We start from the raw sequence: 17,629 nt of genomic DNA, 5'->3' as shown, positions 1-17,629 counted from the left end.
GCTGAGAGCCCTTTGCCCTCACACAGGGTCAGCTCTGGGCAACAAAGAGGGAGTGGCTCAGACAGGGTCAGAGAAGTCTCATCCCAGACTCTGGCTTCCAGCATCATCTGTTCCTGGGGGCCAGGCCCTGCGCAGACCTGGCCACCCAGGGTGCTGGACACCCCCAACCCTGACTCCACAAGGACCCAGCAGGGCCCATGGGCCCAGGCCAGCACGGAGGGGACTCATGCAGATGCAGAGGCCAAGCTCCCCAGGTGGGCCTGGCACGCCTCCCCGCAGGGCTCCTCCTCAGGCCATTCCTGCCACCCTGAGTCCTCTACCCCAGTGACCTGCATCAGGCTCCTCCTAGTGGTTCCCACAGGACACTGACCAGGCTGCGGCAGGCGCATACTTGCACTTCGGGCCTTCTCCCATGCTCTCCAGCCCCCAGCCCCACAAAGCAGGCTGGATGTGGTCCTCATGCCCTGGGGCTTGGATGGGGGCCCCTGTACAGATGGCAGTGACAGCATCCTGGGACCAGGGCTGGGGCAGGAAAGGCTGGAGGGTCCCAGTCTCCAGGCAGGGGGAGGGGTGGTGGGCTGGGCACACAGCCCAGGAAGGGGCCCCCAGGTAGAGGCCTCTGCTGCAACAGAGGTGGGGGCCCTACCAGGGCCCCGGTTATGGCAGAACCTGCAGCTATCACACAAGCCACATGCGGGCCACACTGAGGCATCTTTATTTCTCTGGGTCACACAGAGCTTGGGCCTGGGAGCCTCTTCTGCATGGGGGCTGCAGCTGCCAAGGGAGCGGCTGAGACCAGAACAAGCGCTCGAGTGGGCCCCAGTGCAGGTTGGGATGTGCCCGGTGGAGTAAGGTGTGAGAACCCCCAGCCTCACTCTCTGCCTGGCCCTGAAGCAGACAGCAGCAGGCTGGCCCAGCCTCCCCTTTATGAGACTATCCTAGGGTTTGACAGCAAGTCCCAGATGAAGGGTGACAGGCAGCTGGGGTCCACCTGGTCTCTCCTCAGCAGGGGGAACCCCCTGCGGGCAGCTGGGAAGGCAGTGGCCAAAGGTCAAGAAGATGAACTCTGCCCAGACTTCTGCTGCCTGTGGCTATGGTGGGACAGGGCTGCCTTTCTGGTCACACTGGGCAGCAGGCAACTGCCAGGGACCTCCTAGCCCCAGGGCTGCCTTCCCTGCCCAGCAGCCCCTCTGCTGCAGCTTCCGGATGAGTTCCAGCAGGTTCATCTGCAGCATCAGCTCCTGGGATACAGAGGGGCCCCATGAAGGCCAGAGTGACCCCCAGGCCCCTTTCATCCCGGCCCAAAGGTGCCAGGCAGTGAGCCCACGGGGCGACCATCCTGTGAAGCCTGGTCATGGCCTGCTACGACAGGGTGGAATCTGAGCTTCTGCCCCCAGCAGGGCCACTCGGAATCTGAGCCTCTGCCCCCAGCAGGGCCACTCGGAATCTGAGCCTCTGCACCCAGCAGGGCCACTTGGAATGGCATGCGGGAGGGGAGCAGAAGAGGGCCCTGTGGGGCACAGCAGGCCTGGGGAGGGTGGGCAGTGCCCATGGCTGGCTGGCTCACCCCCCTGTAGGGAATGGGCCTGGCCTCCATGCTGGGAATGGCACAGAAATCCTTTCCAGAGCCTCAATCCTTCCACTTCACCCCCTATACCCTGAGCCTGGCTCCCCAGGGACCAGCAGTGAAATCCCAGATGGAATGGGGCCCAGGGGCACTCGGGCTAGGACAGAGCAGGCCCAGGCACTGACCTGTGGGTTGGTGGTCACGTAGAAGCCAGCCACCCCCGCCTTCTCCAGTGTGCTCTGCTGGTCAGCCACCTTCCGGTCCAGCTCCAGGACGATCTTCTGGTCCATCGCCCGCTGCTCCTCACGGATCCGGTGCTCCACCGCCTGCCGTGGGGCCGGGGGCGGCGGGGGAGGTGAGGGCAGCTCAAACACATGCTCCTGCTGCTGTCCCCAACAGCACCAGCTCTGACACCACCAATGCATCCTCACCACACCCAGGCCTCTCCTCGGCCAAGTGAACCCCTGAAGGGGGCCCCAAGGGGCTTCCACGAATGCTTTGACTTGGGACTGCCTTGGGACCACACACACATCTCCGCAGGCACACCCTGCCCCATGACTTGTTGGTTACATGCCGGTCTCTGGTTGTCCCTGTGCTCCCGGGGAGAAGGATGGGCCCCTTCCTGGCTGGCCCCATCACCCCACCATTGCCTTTGTACCCCCCGAGGCCACCTGCTCTGCGGAGACCCCAACCCACGAGGGGCACTAATGGACTCCAGGGGAGCACTGGTGGGTTCTCACCCTCCACCCAGTCCCAGCACACCTGGCACCCTCAGCGAGGAGCCACCTGGTGGGACTCACTAGGCCTCCAGTGTCCCACTCAGGCCCAGGGTAGCCACCCACACCTGAGCCCCCCACACCCCTTCAGCTCAGCCCAGTCAGCAGAGCCAGGTGGTGCCCACAGGAGAGCTGGGCCGGCCACCCTGCCTGCGTCCCCAGTACCTCTAGTTCTCGCTGCTGAGCCGCCTGAAGCACAGGCAGGTTATGGGGCCGGCAGGCCTGCTGGGCTTCCTGGTGCTTCTGCCGCAGCGCCTGCCTGAGCACTGGGAGGGATGAGAGCCCGTCAGCAGGCGGTGGGACTCGGCAGCAGCCCTCACCCATGGGCACCTGCCTTACCAACCCAGCAGAGCAGCCAGGCCAAAGGGGTGTCTGCACTGGGGAGGACGCCAGCCTCCTCCATCCTCCCACCCCACTGTCACGGCAAGTCTCCAGGGGATTCCAGAAGGTGCGGGGCACTGAAAGAGAGTGGGGGTGGGGAAGACTGGCCAGGTGGGGCCAAAGCTGCAGCCCCAGACCCAGGGCAGCTGGAGGGGGCAGGCGGGAGGGAGGCTGCAGTCTGAGGGCTTCAGGGCCCCCGTGGCCACAGGCCATAGGACATCTACTCAAGTGTTGGAGACCACCTCAGGCAAAGGCATGGGAAAGGAGCAGGAGGAGCCGGGTCGCTGACCCTGAGCGTGGGGCCTCTGCCTACCAGGTGTGTGGTTGGCCCCTCCACCCTTGGTGCTGCCCTTCAGGGTGGGCAGCCCCCTCCCCCATTTGCAGCTCCCAGCCCCTACACAGCACCAGAGGGAGAAGGGTGAGCTGACCTGGGAGGCCCAAGTTTGGGATGAACCTGGGGTGTCATAAGCCTGTGAGGCTCTGGGCCAGGGAGTCTGTGTGGCTTTGAGGGGCTCACCCTCGGCCACCAAGCAAAGCTCCACGGTCCCTGCTAAACTGTGCACAAACACAGATGTGCAAACTCTAGTCTGAAGGGAGTGTACAGAGGAAGCGATCATGGGACATAAACCATCATGGCAAAATGGAACATGGAGCACCCCGCAGCTGGCGCCAGTGCATTAAGTGCCAAATGGCTACAGTTCCCCAGGAAGGAGGGGTCCCTGGCCACAACAAAACGTGAAATCCAACACTCTGTTCCTGGGAAGAGCCCTGATGTTGCAGCTCTTCTCTGGTGGCAAGTCTCCAGGGAACTCCACGGCCCCTGAGGCTCCCCTGCAGGTAGCCTGGCTCCAGCTGTGCCTACAGCCTTCCCCAATCTCCTGTTTCTTGGCATTCTGTACACACCTCGACGATGGTATTTACCAAAAGCCCCCCTCAAGACAGCTCCATAACACAGGGAAGCAGGGAAATGTCATCATCTTCACTCTACTGATCAAACATTGCTACAAGTGCCAGGTCCACTACGAGATTCCACTAGATATGCAACCAAAAGGCAAGAAGAGAGCCACGCCGGCTGCCTGGGCAGAAGGGGCCTGGCCTTAGACACGACCGGGAACACAAAGGAGGCAGGAGCAGCCAGTCACCCCTGCCAAATCAGCAGGAGAAGCAGAAAGTCAACGCAGGCATGCCTGCTGCTGGTGGAACCAGGACCTGGCCCAAACCTTCTGAAGCACAAACAGCATTGGGCCCAGGCAGTTACTGAAACTCCCCATCCTGCTAGAAAGAACTACAACTCTGTGGAAAAATGGCCGATTCCAGGACTGAGACACGGAGAAAACAAGAAAAGATGAGCCTGAACACATACCTGAACCAGAAAGCAAGAAAGTGCTCACAGAATGATGGGGCGGCATCTAAAGGTGCCTGGAGCGCCCCCAACTGGCCACACATGGCACAGTCTGAGCATTAAGGAATAATGAGCCATGCACTTGGGATTAGTAAACTGCATGCATCTTACAGCTCAATAAAATTTTTAAAAAGACAGTCACCCAGACATTTAGGGGAAGAAGTAATGCCAATTCTACACAAACTCTTCTGGAAAACTGAAGAGGAGAGAACACTTCGAAACTCATCCTATAAGGCTGGCAAAAACCCTGATACCCAAACCAGGTATTACATGAAAACTATAGACCACAGTTTATCATGAACATAGACAAAAAAATTCTTAACAAGATTTTAGCAAATCAAATCCAGCATACATAAAAAGGATACTACAGCACGACCCAGTAGGATGGAATTCAAGTGACTGTAATTCACTGTAGTAATAGAAAATGATTCACCACGTGATCATCTCAAGAGCTGCCAAAAAGGAAACTGCCAAAATCCAACATCCATTCTTGATAGAAACACACCAATCCTGGAGCAGATGGACACTGCCTGCCTTCTGGGGAAGGGGGCCTTGCCCCGCTAGGAGGAATTTTTGCCACATTAAACCTGCCTCTAATCAGGCTCCTACCAGGAGTCCAGTGTACAGTAAACCCAGAGAGTGGAGAAGCAGGTTAAATGCACGAGGAAGCATTTCCTCTGATAGATCCAGAGCAGGGCATTCTAATTATAGAATTAGACTCTATAAAAAGTCAATGCCACAATAAATGTTGGGGACTGTTCCAGAAGCAAAGAGACCAAAGTAACCAATTGTAGTACATGAACTTGGACTGGATCCTTACTTATAAAGCAACAATTTGCCACAAGTTAGGTACCATGATGTGGCCATGCACTGAAAGTCAGGAGACACCTGGAACAGTTAATTTCTCAGGGGGCTACCCTCTGCAGCTGTGTAGGAGACCGCTCTTGTTCTAGAGCACTTGCTCCCAATCCAAGGCCAAGGTTGACCCCACCACCCAGGTTGTCTGGAGGCATTCTTGGTTTTCACGACTAGGGAGGGTACCCCTGCCATCCTGCAATGCGCAAGACAGCATCTCACCATAAAGACTTACCCAGCCACAAATGTCAGCATGGCTGGGTTGAAAATCCTGGTCTCCAGGAATGCTGAAGACTCTTGGTGAATTCTATGCTGTCACATGTATGTATTTTGGGATGTCAAGAACTAGAGCAAAATGTTAACTACTGAACTTTCGGTGGAGAGCACAAGCGTATGCACTACACTGTCTTTTCAGTTTTTCCAAATGTTTGAACTTTTAAAATAAGAAGTTTGGGAAAAATAAAACAGCAAAGGTGGAAATCTGATGGTGCAGGGGGACCTGCCCTATATAATTTGCAGGAAAGGGCTCCGAAGCCCAGGAAGCATGCGGCTCAAGTGGGAAGCTCTTCTGGTTTGGGAGGGCGCCACAGGAGACAGTGCTTAGGAATTTGATGTGCAACTAGAATGAGGCCCTGCAGGCCTGAGAGGGAACTGACCCTGAAGGGCGCGCACAGCTGTCAACAGACCTCCAACTACCCAAGGGCGCTGCTCACCTGTCAACAGAACTCCAATTACCGGAGGGCAACGCAGTCAGATCTACCACCAGAGTCAGCCTGCCGGCCAACCAAGCACGGAGGCCTAGGGCCATCAGGCCTGGAAGGGGGTGGGGCACAGGGAAGCCCGAACAGGGAGTTTCTGCTAAGAAGGTGGGTGCTGCGCAACTGAAAACAAAACTCGTTGGACACATTGGTCACCAAAAAGGCGCTGTCTCAGTCTCTGCGCCCTTGATTTTGTTAATCTTAGGGACCTCTTCCGAACACTCCCAAGGAAGGAGCCGAGCTGCACAGATACCAAGAGCTGCCGGGAGGCGCCGACCCCGAGGAGGCGGCACCTCCTCCCGCTGCCCCCGCGCACCTCGATGCTCGTTCTGTAGGCGCAGGCGCTGGTTGTACAGGCTCTTTTCGGTGAGGTGCTGGATCTCCAGTAGCCCCTGCACGATTTCGAACACGGTGCCGTCGAGAAGCGCCAGGGCCAGGTCGCTCAGCGTGGTGTAGGACAAGCGCTGCTGGAATGAGCTGCGGGGTAGAGGAGCGCGGTGAGCCCCGGCGGGACACGATGCGGCCTCGGCAGGCCGCCGCCCGCCCCGCCCGCGTACCTGGGCAACTCCTTCACCAGGCTCTGTAACGCCGACAGCAGCTGGTAGTGTCGCTCCTGCTGCCGGGCACCGTCCGCCACCTCCTCCAAGGCGCCCGCGTAGCGCTCCATGGCGCGGACGCCCGCTAGCCGCCGGCTGCAGCGACGAGCGCCCCCAGCTCACGTCATCCCGACCGCGGCGCGTCCCGCCCCTTTTATGACAGTCCCTAGCGCAGCGCGCCCCGCCCGTCTTAGGACAGTCCCCGATCGCGGCGCGCCTCGCGCCTTCCCCGCCCCACCACGCGCCCCGCCCCTTGCGTCATTCAGAAGGAGACGCGCCCCGTCCCTCCGTGGTGGCTGCAAGGAGGGTTTCGCTCAGCTGAGGCTCATACCTTCCTGCTCCCCGGGCCACTTTAGAGGCGAGACTCCGTCGCCTGGATATCGCAGGACCATGTAGAATCCCACCGGCCCTTGCTGAGTCATTGCGGGCTGAGGTCCGGGCTCCGCGCCGGCGCGCCTGCGAGGTGGACTGTCCCGGTCACCGGCCTTCCCAGAGGGAGGGGTCTCGGGCCAGAGCCCACAGGACCTGGGTCTAAGGCACCATCGCGGCCGAGCAGTGGTGTTGGGGTCTGTCTGCGTCCTCTCTGCCCCCGGAGTGAGACAGACAAGACCACCCTAGAGCCTCTGGGCCAGGAGAGTTGGAACCGGAGTCCCCATCTGGGCCTGCCGTGGTCGCCCCGGGGTGCCCAGCCCCCAGCCGGAACCGCGAGCCCAGACTGCCCTCTCCCCGCTCCCCAGACCAGCTGCTGGGCCGGGGCTGGGGAGCTTCTGGTGGCTGGTGTGGGCGGCAAGCCACCCAGGCGCTGAGGCAAGAGACCGAGGACACGAGCTGTTCCAGTATAATAAAATATAAAACAAGAATAGTTATACCAGATATAGATCTTAGATATGATTATATATGAATATCAATAATCATTAGTTGGTAGCAATTACTCTTTATTCCAGTATTATAATAATCCTCACTCTATAATCATAACCTAGGAAAAACCAGGCCATACAGAGATAGGAGCTAAGGGGACACAGTGAGGGGTGACCAGAAGACAAGAGTGCGAGCCTTCTGTTATGCCCAGACAGGGCCACCAGAAGGGCTCCTTGGTCTAGCGGTGACGCCAGCGTCTGGGAAGATGCCCGTTGCCAGGTGGGCCGTGGTCTAGCGGTAGTGAAAAGTGTCAAGGAACAACACCTGCTACTTAGCAGACCGGGAAAGGGAGGCTCCTTTTCCCCGGGGGAGTTTAGAGAAGACTCCGCTCCTCCACCTCTTGTGGAGGGCCTGACATGAGTCAGGCTTGCCTGCAGTTATCCGGAGGCCTAACCATCTCCCTGTGATGCTGTGCTTCAGTGGTCCCGCTCCTAGTCTGCCTTTATTATGCCTAGTCATCCTGTACACCTGGCTCTGCCTTCTAGCTAGCAGTAGTCAATTAGTGAAAGTACTAAAAGTCTCTGATATGCAGAAATAATGGCATAAGCTATCTTTCTCTCTGTCTCCTCTCCCTCTCTGCCTCGGCTGCCAGGCAGGGAAGGGCCCCCTGTCCAGTGGACACGTGACCCACGTGACCTTGCCTATCATTGGAGATGACTCACACTCTTTACCCTGCCCCTTTTGCTTTGTATCCAATAAATAACAGCGCAGCCAGACATTCGGGGCCACTACCGGTCTCCGCGCTTTGGTGGTAGTGGTCCCCCGGGCCCAGCTGTCTTTTATCTCTTTGTCTTGTGTCTTTATTTCTACACTCTCTCGTTGCGGCACACGGGGAGAGACCCACCGACCATGTGGGGCTGGTCCCTACAGGCTGGGGCTGAACCGGCTAGGAACACGTTTTAATAGGAGGGGTTCGGGTGGAGGAATGGCTCCTGCAAAGGCCCTGCCAGAGTCAGGTCAGGTGGATGGGCGAGAGGACCAGTGTGGCCAGGCTGCGGAAGCCAGCACAGGAGACAAGGGCGGGTGCTGTGCATTACAGAGGCTGCTGGGGGCTTGTCCAAAGAGCAGCAGGGGGCACGGAAGGGCTTGGGGACGCAGACACGATCAGACTTGCATTTCACCAGGCATTCTTTAGCTGCCTGCGGTGCTAAAGAATGGGTGGCTGGGCTGTGTGAGATGACCCTGCTTTGACCAGGTTAGGAATTATGACTGGTTTCCAGAGAGAACATTGGTTAGCAGTTGGCTATGGGGGAGAGGGGGGCATTGAGCCAACTGGGGTCCCCCTGAAGTGCCAGCAAAGTCTCTGGTTTTCTCCAGGATCTGTTTCCTCAGTCCCTGGCAGGATTGGCTCCCCTGCAAGCCATGTCTTTGTGATCCCTTCCAGACAGAAACCAGGAGTGAATAAAGTGAATAATGACAACAAGCGCTCAGGCCACTGCCGTGGAGGGCGGTCCACAACCCAGAGCTGGTCATGCGCCGGGCACCCTGGCCTCCAGGTCCCTCGGAATGGCAGGAGCTGGAGGTGGGATTCGAGATTGTGGGAGCTGAGTCTGTAGTGAGTGACCAGGAGCCAGCTGGGGCTGGGCTTGGTCACTGTCACCTCCCCCGGAGGTGGTGAGTGGGATGAGTAGCTGGGTGAAGATGCCTGCCTGTTTCACCAGTGTCCCTGCCCTCAGTCCCCCAGTCCATGAAGGGTGTCTGTGTGGAGACTGGGAGCATATAGGGCAGCCCCACGTGATGATATGTCTGTGGCCAGCTGGGCAACACTGTCGCCAGCTCCGGGGTCTGCCAGGTCTGCCAGGTGGGGTGGGGGCTGTGAGCCACAGCAGCAGCAGACCAGGCCTGGGTTTGGACACCTGCTCCTCTGCCTTGTCCGGGTGCTGATGCAGGAAGGCCCCTTCTCCAACCCTTGGTGCAACATCTGACCTGAACCAGCTTCCCCAGCCCAGCAGCACTGCTCCCCTAATGTGGATGTCGACCTAAAGAAACAAACTGAACCACAGTTCATATAGAGAGTTTGTCTGGACCAAGGCTGAGAGAGCTGCCCAGGACACACCAAGTTGCCCTGGGAGTACTTCATTCAGCCTTATTACAAGCAAGTTTTTAAAGACTGAAGGGGACAAGGAGTGGGCTGATATGAAGTCAGCAGGAATTCTGACTGCTTTCCAGAGAGAACCTTAGTGACTGGCTATAAGGTGTTGGACTACAGGGGAAGAGTTATGGTGTCCAGCGTCTGGCTTTTTATGTCTACTTGGTGTCAGTCTGGAACCCACAGAGCAATTGGCTTCAAGAGGTCGTTAGCTCAAGTGGGAGTGACATGTGACTGCTGTTTCAGTCCAGTGACTCTCTGGGCCAGATAATTAAAGGGGTCTCGCATTCCTCAGATAAAAAGTTCTTTTCTTTTGCATGGACGTGAGCAGTGGGTCACTCAGGCATGGGGACTCCTGTGGGTCTTCAGGGAGGGGTCTCATCCCCCAGAGCCCTAGGGATGGGTGATATGTGTGTAGGAATGGGGGAGCTGGTGCGCAGACATGTGTGCCCCTTGTGTGCGTGCACATGGTGGACCCCATGGCTCTTTACATCAGGTGGTATCCACTGAAGGCCTTTGCTCTGTGGCCACTGTCCACCTCCACTTAGCTTCCCAAGTCCTCCAGGCTGGCTGGTGACACCTTGGGTTAGTGTGGAGTGACTGGTGTATGTTGGGGAGCTGCAGATCCCCTTTCTCTGACACAGGTGTGTCTGGGCAAACACCAAGTCTGTGGTTTGAAAGGATGGGAGCCTGTGTGTGTGTGTGTGCATGTGCATGTGTGGCAAAAGGCTTTGCTGCATGGCTTTTGTGTGGGTCTGTCTTTGAGTGTCACGTGTGCCTTTCTGTGTTTCTCTGTGAATTTTCGTGTGTCAGGTTGTGAGTCCATTGTGTGGGCAGAGAAACAGCTCTGCCGTGAGACCCTGAGCCATTGCAGGATCCCCATAGGCCACACAGAGGTGCACACAGCACCTGACCTAAGCCTGCTCCTCCCAGAACATCAGGCTGCACCCAGGCCACTGGTCACTTCCTCTGTCTCCCAAGACTGTTCCTCACTGCCTGCCTCACTGGCCCTGGTGAGGGTTCCTCACTGCCCTGCCCCTGGCCCTCACAACAGAGCTGCAGATGAGGACACCACCCAGCTGCAGTCTCAAGGGGCTCCTCTGCATTGGGTGTCCTGCAATGCATGCCCTCTGACCCCTTTTGTTTCGGTGCTGTCCTTTTTAGTGTGTGGCACCAGGATGGCAGGGAGCTGCCACCTCAGACTTCTCTTATTTTCACTCTGTGAGTAATAAGCTCTGAATGAGAGGGGCTCATTGTGTCTTTACTGTCAAATCAGTCAGGCCTTGGCCTTGGCATGTCTCGCGTGTGCTTGACAAATGTATTGCTCATGGGGTCTGGTGGAGGCACAGCACCCTTTTAGAAGACAGGGTCTGTGCAGACCAGTTACGGGTGACATTTCCTGGGCACAGCTCTTGCCTAAGTGGTGGGGGATGGGAGGAGGACTATGTGTGGAACACAGGATTATCTCAGTCATTCCATGTGTGATAGTACATGAAAGACATGAGCAGTTGTAGTGCTGTTCACTGTGCAAAAGTATCCCTTCTTCCTAACGTGGGAGGGCTGCTTTTGCAAATATGTCTGTGCTATTTCTCACTGGTCCTGCCTCTTCTGTTCTTGGAATCAAACTCAGTCCACGACAGATCCCACTACTAGCTGAATTTCTTTATTAGTCCTATCACAAATGAAATTTTGTATTAGCACCTCAGGGGATTTCTTTAATTTTGCAAAAGTATGTCATCCTAATTTATTATTTTTTTCCTAAGATCTGGCAATGAGCATCGGTTCTCTGCTTCCTATCTTACCCTGCTTACTCACAGCTGCTTCAGGTGACCTCCTTTTTAGGTTCAGAGTTATGGCTGACCTCTGCTTTAATCAAAACAGAATGTATTTTGGTTTCTTATTTTGTTTATCGCTTCTATCTTCAAATTAGAAATCCTAGAGCTCATTAGATTTACTTTTATGTTTATTTTTGAAAGAGCATCCTGCTCTGTCACCCAGGCTGGAGTGCAGTGGTACAATGACTGCTCATTGCGGCCTTGACCTCCTGGGCTCAAGTGATTCTCCTGCCTCAGCCTCCCAAGTAGCTGGGATTACAGGCACCCGCCACCACACCTGGCTAATGTTTGTATTTTTAGTAGAGTCAGGGTTTCACCATGTTGGCCAGCTGGTCTCGAACTCCTGATCTCAGGTGATCTGCCCACCTTGACCTCCCAAAGTGCTGGGATTACAGGTGTGAGCCACCATGCCCAGCCAATTTTTATGACCATGAATGGGGACAGATCTCTTAAACAGTTCACAAAGAGCCATAGTTTTAAGGGAATAAATTGATAAATTAGACTGTATTCAAATTAAGAATTTCTGTTTATTAAGAGACTAAGAAAGTGACAAGGCAAGTTGCAGAGTGGGAACAGATCTATGAACACATAGAACTGACAGAGGGCTCACATCAACAATATGTAAAGAGCTCTTAAAAATCACTAAGAGAGGTGCTCAATGGTGCCCAGGCTGGAGTGCAGTGGCGTGATCTCAGCTCGCTACAACCTCCACCTCCCAGCCGCCTGCTTTGGCCTCCCAAAATGCCGAGATTGCAGCCTCTGCCCGGCCGCCACCCCGTCTGGGAAGTGAGGAGCGTCTCTTCCTGGCCGCCTATCGTCTGGGATGTGAGGAGCCCCTCTGCCTGGCTGCCCAGTCTGGAAAGTGAGGAGTGTCTCTGCCCGGCCGCCATCCCATCTAGGAAGTGAGGAGCGCCTCTTCCCGGCCGCCATCACATCTAGGAAGTGAGGAGCATCTCTGCCCGGCCGCCCATCGTCTGAGATGTGGGGAGCGCCTCTGCCCCGCCGCCCCGTCTGGGATGTGAGGAGCGCCTCTGCCCGGTTGTCCCGTCTGAGAAGTGAGGAGACCCTCTGCCTGGCAACCGCCCCGTCTGAGAAGTGACGAGCCCCGCCGCCCGGCAGCTGCCCCGTCTGAGAAGTGAGGAGCCCCTCTTCCCGGCCGCCCCTACTGGGAAGTGAGGAGCCCCTCTGCCCAGCCAGCCGCCCCGTCCGGGAGGGAGGTGGGGGTCAGCCCCCCGCCCGGCCAGCCGCCCTGTCCGGGAGGGAGGTGGGGGGGTCAGCCCCCAGCCCGGCCAGCCGCCCCGTCCGGGAGGTGAGGGGCGCCTCTGCCCGGCCGCCCCTACTGGGAAGTGAGGAGCCCCTCTGCCCGGCCACCACCCCGTCTGGGAGGTGTACCCAACAGCTCATTGAGAACGGGCCATGATGACAATGGCGGTTTTGTGGAATAGAAAGGGGGGAAAGGTGGGGAAAAGATTGAGAAATCGGATGGTTGCCGTGTCTGTGTAGAAAGAAGTAGACATGGGAGACTTTTCATTTTGTTCTGTACTAAGAAAAATTCTTCTGCCTTGGGAAAAAAAAAAAATCACTAAGAGAAAGAACAATGGGTAAAACACTTAAACATGTAATTTATAAAAGCAAATACTTGAATGTGTTCAGCTTTCTTAATATTCATGTAAATGCAAATTAACATCACAACAGGATAACATATCCTCCAAAACGGCTAAAATGTAAAAGACAGAACACCAAGTGTTGGAGAGAATCTGGAGCAACAAGAACTCTCATCACTGCTGGAGGGGATACTGTGTTTGGCATTGAATAAAGGTTCTAGAAAGGAGCACATTCAGGACTCAGGTATTTCACTCTTAGGATAACAGAAACACATGCACGTCTGCATCAAAAGACATCTATGGAAATGTGTGTGGCATCATTCTCTGTCATTGGAAAAATATCTTGAAACAAAACCCAAATGTGACTTCTGTTTTCCAGCTTGGAAGCTGTCACTCCTGTCCTCACAACAACAACAAAAAACACCTTGAACAAACTGAAAATTAACAACTTTTCTTAGATCCATCAGAGACTTGAGGTTAACACGCCAAACCATTATCCCCCAAATTGGAGAGGCAGTGAGTCCCAGCCTAACAGGATCGGAGGCTGCCACTGGAGCCAGAACCACGGTGGGAAGACTTACATGTAAACAACAAATTTCTGGAGGCCACGTGTACATAAACTTGAGAATTAAGAATTAAGGGAGCCCGGTCTTAGGGGGCCCTACACTTTCATGAACCTCCAAGAGCTCTGCCAGACGCTCTTATGCACATCAGAGAAAAATTCCCTCCTGCTTCCCACAGGGAAGGGGAAAAGTAACTACTTTGAAATACACCCTGGGTGTTCCGTTCCCTTAGCAAAAGCCTGCCCCAGGGAAACTATTTCACAAGAGTCTAACCACCTTGGGCTTTAGCAGGGCCTAACACATGTAAGGATAAGAATAAAAATTGCATCAAACTTTTCTTCAGAACCCATGCAAGCAAGCAAGAAAATTCCACCAACCTAAAATTCTGTATCCTGCAAAATTATCTTTCCAAAGTGAAGAAAAATAAAGACTTTCTCAGAGAAATGCAATTTTGCTGTCAGTAGATCTGTCAAAATGTTAAAAGAAGTTATCCAGAGAGAAGAAAATGATATAGGCTAAAAACTTGGATCTACATAAAGAAAAAAGGTTTTAGAGAAGGAAGAAAGGGGCTTCCTGCCTCCCTCCTCCATGGGGCACTGGCGCTATGCCCAGCACCCAGATGCCCCTACCCAATGCCGAATAAGAACACAGAGCACCGTGAATGGCTGGCTCTAAAAGGAAGAGTCGAAGACTTGTGTTCTCAACCCACAGCTGCTACTGCTACATTTAAAGACACTGTAGTGAACATTGTAAGTTCTCTGGCTCATGGAGGGAGGAATCTATTCCAAAGACTCTGGGAAAAACTGTAAATTAAACAAAAATATGGTGAAAGCTGTTTCCTGAGCTTTATTGATGTTAATAATGCACCTTATTGGCCAGGCACAGTGGCTCACGACTGTGATCCCAGCACTTTGGGAGGCCAAGGTGGGAGGATCACAAGGTCAGAAGATCAAGTCCAGCCCGGCCAACATGGTGAAACCCTGTCTCTACTAAAAATACAAAAATTAGCTGGGTGTGGTGGCACGTGCCTGTAATCCCAGCGACTCAGGAAGCTGAGGCAGGAGAAGCGCTTGAACCCGGCAGGTGGAGGTTGCTGTGAGCTGAGATGGCGCCACTCTGCTACAGCCTGGTGACAGAGGAAGACTACCTCTCAAAAAACAAACAAACAAACAAAAAACAAAAACAAAAAACAAAAAACTGGTCACCTTTTCACCATATACAAAAATTAACTCAGGTTGGATTAAAGATTTAAATTTAAGACCTCAAACTACAATAATCCTAGAAGAAAAACTTCAAAAGTACCATTCTGGATATGGGCTATGGGAAATAATTCATGACTAAGTCTTCAAAAGAAATTGCAACAAAAGCAAAAGTTGACAAATGGGACCTAATTAAACTAAAGAGCTGCCACACAGCAAAGGAAACCATCAGCAGAGTAAACAACCTACAGAATGGGGGAAATTATTCACAAACTATGCATCCAACAAAGGTCTAATATTTAGAATCTATAAGGAACATAATTCAACAAGCAAAACACAACCCCATTTAAAAAGGGGGAAAAGACATAGACACTTCTCAGAAGGAGACACACATGCAGCCAACAAACATGAAAAAAATGCTCATCATCACTAATCACGAGAGAAATGCAAATCAAAACCACAATGAGATATTATCTCTCACTAGTCAGAATGGCTATTTTTAAAAAGTAAAAAAAAAAAAATAGCAGATACTGGCAAGGATAAGGAGAAAAGGGAATGCTTATACACCTTTGGTGGGGATGTAAGTTAGTTCAGCCACTGTGGAAAGCAATTTGGAGATTTCTCAAAGAACATAAAACAGAACTAACATTCAACCCAGCAGTCTCATTACTGAATATGTATCCAAAAGAAAACAAATCATTCCACCAAAAAGACGTATGCGCTTATATGTTTATTGCAACACTATTCACATTAGCAAAGACATGGGATCAACCTAGGTGCCCATCAACAGTGGACTGGATAAAAATGTGGTACATATAGACCATGGAATACTATGCAGCCACAAAAACGAATGAAATTATGTTCTTTGAGGGAAAATGTCTAGAGCTGGAATCCACGAAGTGAACTAATGCAGTAAAAGAAAACAAACGCCTCATGTTCCTATAAGTAGGAGCTAAATTCTGAGTACCCATGGACATGAAGATGGTGACAATAGACACTAGGACTGCTAGGAGGGGGAGGGAGGAAGGAAAAGGTTGAAAAACTGCTGAGTACCATGTTCAGTACCTGGGTGTTGGGATCATTCACACCCAAAACCTCAGCACCACACAATATACCCAGGAAAAAACCTGCACATGTACACCCTGAATCTAACATAAAAGTTAAAAAAGAAAAAGCAGAATGGAATCTCTGTTTATTCTCAACGTATCAGTTGTGCCTCTCTTCAATTTGAAACTCTCACTATTGGCTATATTTGGGGGTGCCCTATTTCCCATCTCATAACTTATTTCAAGAATCACAGCATAATAATGTGTGAGCTTGGGATTCAGTTTTTGAAACAAAACACTGAGCCTTCAATGACATTCCTGTACATGGAAAAGCACACGTGTCTGCATGGCAGCAGTTCGACCTCCCAATGTGGATTGTGTCTTCACCCTGGAATGTTTATGCCCTATCGCCATGGTGATGGGATTAGGGATCTCCTGCCGTTGGTCCTAAGTGCCACTGTCTGTGCTGAGTTTTTGAAAGGTCAGAGCAGATTGAACCTTTGTGGTTTCATATTCCCTGATTTTGAATTTTCTTATGGGGAACCTGTCTTGCTGCATTCAAGGTATGTTCATACTGGCCTGCCAAATGCGATCTTTTCAAATTACTAGTTAATGCTTTCAAAATATGTTATTTAAAAAATTATCCTCTGTATTTTCCATAGGCAGTTATAAATATGTTTCATGGTTATGTTTTATTCCTCAATTTATATATTTGATTATTGTACCAAGCAGAGTACCTTTGAAATTTTTCTTCCTTTAAAAAATATGTATCTTGGCTCAGGCCTGTAATCCCAGCACTTTGGGAGGCCAAGGCAAGAGGATCAAAAGGGGAGGAGATCAAGACCATCCTGGCCAATACAGTGAAACCCTGTCTCTACTAAAAATACGAAAAATTAGCCAGGCATGGTGGCAGCTGGTGTAGTCCCAGTGTGGTGTAGTCCCAGCGACCAGGGAGGATGAGGCACGACAATCGCTTGAACCCGTGAGGCAGAGGTTGCAGTGAGCCAAGATGGCGCCATTGCATTCCAGCCTGTGCAACAGAACAGGACTCTGTCTAAAAAAAAATTATGTATATATAATATATAATATATATAATATAATGATATATTACATAATATACATAATATATATTATATGTCAAATTATATACATTATATATATTATATGTCAAATTATATACATTATATATATTATACGTCATATTATATACATTATATATAATATATAATATATTATATACATAATATATTATATATAATATATAATATACATCATATATAATATATGTTATATGAACAATATATAATATATATAATATGACATATAATATATACTATATGACATATATAATATATATTATATATTATAGGTTATATATCATATATAATATATAATGTATGATATATGATATATATAATATATTATATATTGGATATGTAATATATAATATATTATATAATATATACATTATACATTATATAACATATAATATATTATATAATATATACATTATACATTATATAACATATAATATATTATATAATATATACATTATACATTATATAACATATAATATATTATATAATATATACATTATACAACATATAATATATTATATAATATATACATTATACATTATATAATATATACATTATATAATATATACATTATATAATATATACATTATATATTATATAATATATACATTCTATAACATATTATATAATATACATTCTATAATATATAATATATACATCATATAGTATATAATATATTACATAATATATACTATATTACATATAATATATACCATGTATTACATATAATATATACCATGTATTATATATAATATATACCATATATTATATATAATATATACCATGTATTATATATAATATATATCATATATTATGTATATAATATATGATATATATTATATATAATATATAGTATAATGAATGATATATATTATATATTATATGTTACATATTATATATAATATATGATATATACTATATATAATATATGATATCTATTAAA

The 17,629-nt window shown here is 50.7% G+C and overlaps 1 protein-coding gene and 1 long non-coding RNA gene across 4 annotated transcripts in view, besides 10 other annotated features; one reads left to right on the top strand and one right to left on the bottom strand.

Annotated features, from left to right (window-relative positions):
• DGCR6 (DiGeorge syndrome critical region gene 6) lies at positions 693-6,558 on the bottom strand. 3 transcript variants are annotated; one of them, NM_005675.6, is made up of 5 exons: positions 6,297-6,461; positions 6,056-6,216; positions 2,509-2,609; positions 1,753-1,893; positions 693-1,241 (listed from the first exon to the last, which is right to left on the bottom strand). In NM_005675.6, exons 1-5 carry the CDS (start codon positions 6,404-6,406, stop codon positions 1,092-1,094), a joined length of 663 nt encoding a protein of 220 aa, NP_005666.2. In that variant the 5' UTR covers positions 6,407-6,461; the 3' UTR covers positions 693-1,091. The 3 variants fall into 3 exon arrangements, with proteins under 3 accessions (NP_005666.2, XP_047297466.1, XP_047297465.1); XM_047441510.1 differs by lacking the exon at positions 6,297-6,461 and adding an exon at positions 2,683-2,801 and having other exon boundaries at positions 6,056-6,142; XM_047441509.1 differs by lacking the exons at positions 693-1,241; positions 1,753-1,893 and adding an exon at positions 2,683-2,801 and having other exon boundaries at positions 2,510-2,609; positions 6,297-6,558.
• Positions 2,252-2,954: an enhancer, noted in NCBI's record as "H3K4me1 hESC enhancer chr22:18897340-18898042 (GRCh37/hg19 assembly coordinates)". NCBI's record gives its function as "activates a minimal SCP1, AML or CMV promoter by ChIP-STARR-seq in naive H9 embryonic stem cells {active_cell/tissue: H9 hESC(naive)}" and the evidence as "EXISTENCE:reporter gene assay evidence [ECO:0000049][PMID:30033119]".
• Positions 2,955-3,657: an enhancer, noted in NCBI's record as "H3K4me1 hESC enhancer chr22:18896637-18897339 (GRCh37/hg19 assembly coordinates)". NCBI's record gives its function as "activates a minimal SCP1, AML or CMV promoter by ChIP-STARR-seq in naive H9 embryonic stem cells {active_cell/tissue: H9 hESC(naive)}" and the evidence as "EXISTENCE:reporter gene assay evidence [ECO:0000049][PMID:30033119]".
• Positions 3,658-4,361: an enhancer, noted in NCBI's record as "H3K4me1 hESC enhancer chr22:18895933-18896636 (GRCh37/hg19 assembly coordinates)". NCBI's record gives its function as "activates a minimal SCP1, AML or CMV promoter by ChIP-STARR-seq in naive H9 embryonic stem cells {active_cell/tissue: H9 hESC(naive)}" and the evidence as "EXISTENCE:reporter gene assay evidence [ECO:0000049][PMID:30033119]".
• Positions 5,918-6,455: an enhancer, noted in NCBI's record as "H3K27ac-H3K4me1 hESC enhancer chr22:18893839-18894376 (GRCh37/hg19 assembly coordinates)". NCBI's record gives its function as "activates a minimal SCP1, AML or CMV promoter by ChIP-STARR-seq in naive H9 embryonic stem cells {active_cell/tissue: H9 hESC(naive)}" and the evidence as "EXISTENCE:reporter gene assay evidence [ECO:0000049][PMID:30033119]".
• Positions 6,456-6,993: an enhancer, noted in NCBI's record as "H3K27ac-H3K4me1 hESC enhancer chr22:18893301-18893838 (GRCh37/hg19 assembly coordinates)". NCBI's record gives its function as "activates a minimal SCP1, AML or CMV promoter by ChIP-STARR-seq in naive H9 embryonic stem cells {active_cell/tissue: H9 hESC(naive)}" and the evidence as "EXISTENCE:reporter gene assay evidence [ECO:0000049][PMID:30033119]".
• Positions 6,994-7,532: an enhancer, noted in NCBI's record as "H3K27ac-H3K4me1 hESC enhancer chr22:18892762-18893300 (GRCh37/hg19 assembly coordinates)". NCBI's record gives its function as "activates a minimal SCP1, AML or CMV promoter by ChIP-STARR-seq in naive H9 embryonic stem cells {active_cell/tissue: H9 hESC(naive)}" and the evidence as "EXISTENCE:reporter gene assay evidence [ECO:0000049][PMID:30033119]".
• Positions 7,650-8,507: an enhancer, noted in NCBI's record as "H3K27ac-H3K4me1 hESC enhancer chr22:18891787-18892644 (GRCh37/hg19 assembly coordinates)". NCBI's record gives its function as "activates a minimal SCP1, AML or CMV promoter by ChIP-STARR-seq in naive H9 embryonic stem cells {active_cell/tissue: H9 hESC(naive)}" and the evidence as "EXISTENCE:reporter gene assay evidence [ECO:0000049][PMID:30033119]".
• Positions 7,881-8,064: a silencer, noted in NCBI's record as "fragment chr22:18892230-18892413 (GRCh37/hg19 assembly coordinates)". NCBI's record gives its function as "represses an EF-1alpha promoter that drives an FKBP-Casp9 reporter gene in an ReSE screen in HepG2 liver carcinoma cells {active_cell/tissue: HepG2}" and the evidence as "EXISTENCE:reporter gene assay evidence [ECO:0000049][PMID:32094911]".
• Positions 8,508-9,367: an enhancer, noted in NCBI's record as "H3K27ac-H3K4me1 hESC enhancer chr22:18890927-18891786 (GRCh37/hg19 assembly coordinates)". NCBI's record gives its function as "activates a minimal SCP1, AML or CMV promoter by ChIP-STARR-seq in naive H9 embryonic stem cells {active_cell/tissue: H9 hESC(naive)}" and the evidence as "EXISTENCE:reporter gene assay evidence [ECO:0000049][PMID:30033119]".
• The window catches only part of FAM230F (family with sequence similarity 230 member F), a 31,723-nt gene continuing 30,110 nt past the window's right edge, over positions 16,017-17,629 (top strand). Inside the window, exon 1 of the long non-coding RNA NR_165500.3 lies at positions 16,017-16,152. This is a non-coding gene — a long non-coding RNA (family with sequence similarity 230 member F). The remainder of the gene's footprint in view (positions 16,153-17,629) is intronic.
• Positions 16,240-16,741: an enhancer, noted in NCBI's record as "OCT4 hESC enhancer chr22:18883553-18884054 (GRCh37/hg19 assembly coordinates)". NCBI's record gives its function as "activates a minimal SCP1, AML or CMV promoter by ChIP-STARR-seq in primed H9 embryonic stem cells {active_cell/tissue: H9 hESC(primed)}" and the evidence as "EXISTENCE:reporter gene assay evidence [ECO:0000049][PMID:30033119]".

This window comes from Homo sapiens, chromosome 22, assembly GCF_000001405.40.
Source record: "Homo sapiens chromosome 22, GRCh38.p14 Primary Assembly".
NCBI classification, from domain to species: domain Eukaryota; kingdom Metazoa; phylum Chordata; class Mammalia; order Primates; family Hominidae; genus Homo; species Homo sapiens.
Note: the sequence above shows the minus strand (reverse complement) of the source record. Positions and strands in the feature narration are given on the sequence as shown.

Excerpts from the sequence above, each read along its gene's own strand:
- DGCR6 (NM_005675.6), bottom strand. The coding sequence starts at position 6,406 with ATGGAGCGCTACGCGGGCGCCTTGGAGGAGGTGGCGGACGGTGCCCGG. Across the intron at positions 6,217-6,296 it reads CTGGTGAAGGAGTTGCCCAG|CTCATTCCAGCAGCGCTTGT; the intron begins GTACGCGGGCGG and ends TCTACCCCGCAG. Across the intron at positions 1,242-1,752 it reads ACGTGACCACCAACCCACAG|GAGCTGATGCTGCAGATGAA; the intron begins GTCAGTGCCTGG and ends TCTGTATCCCAG.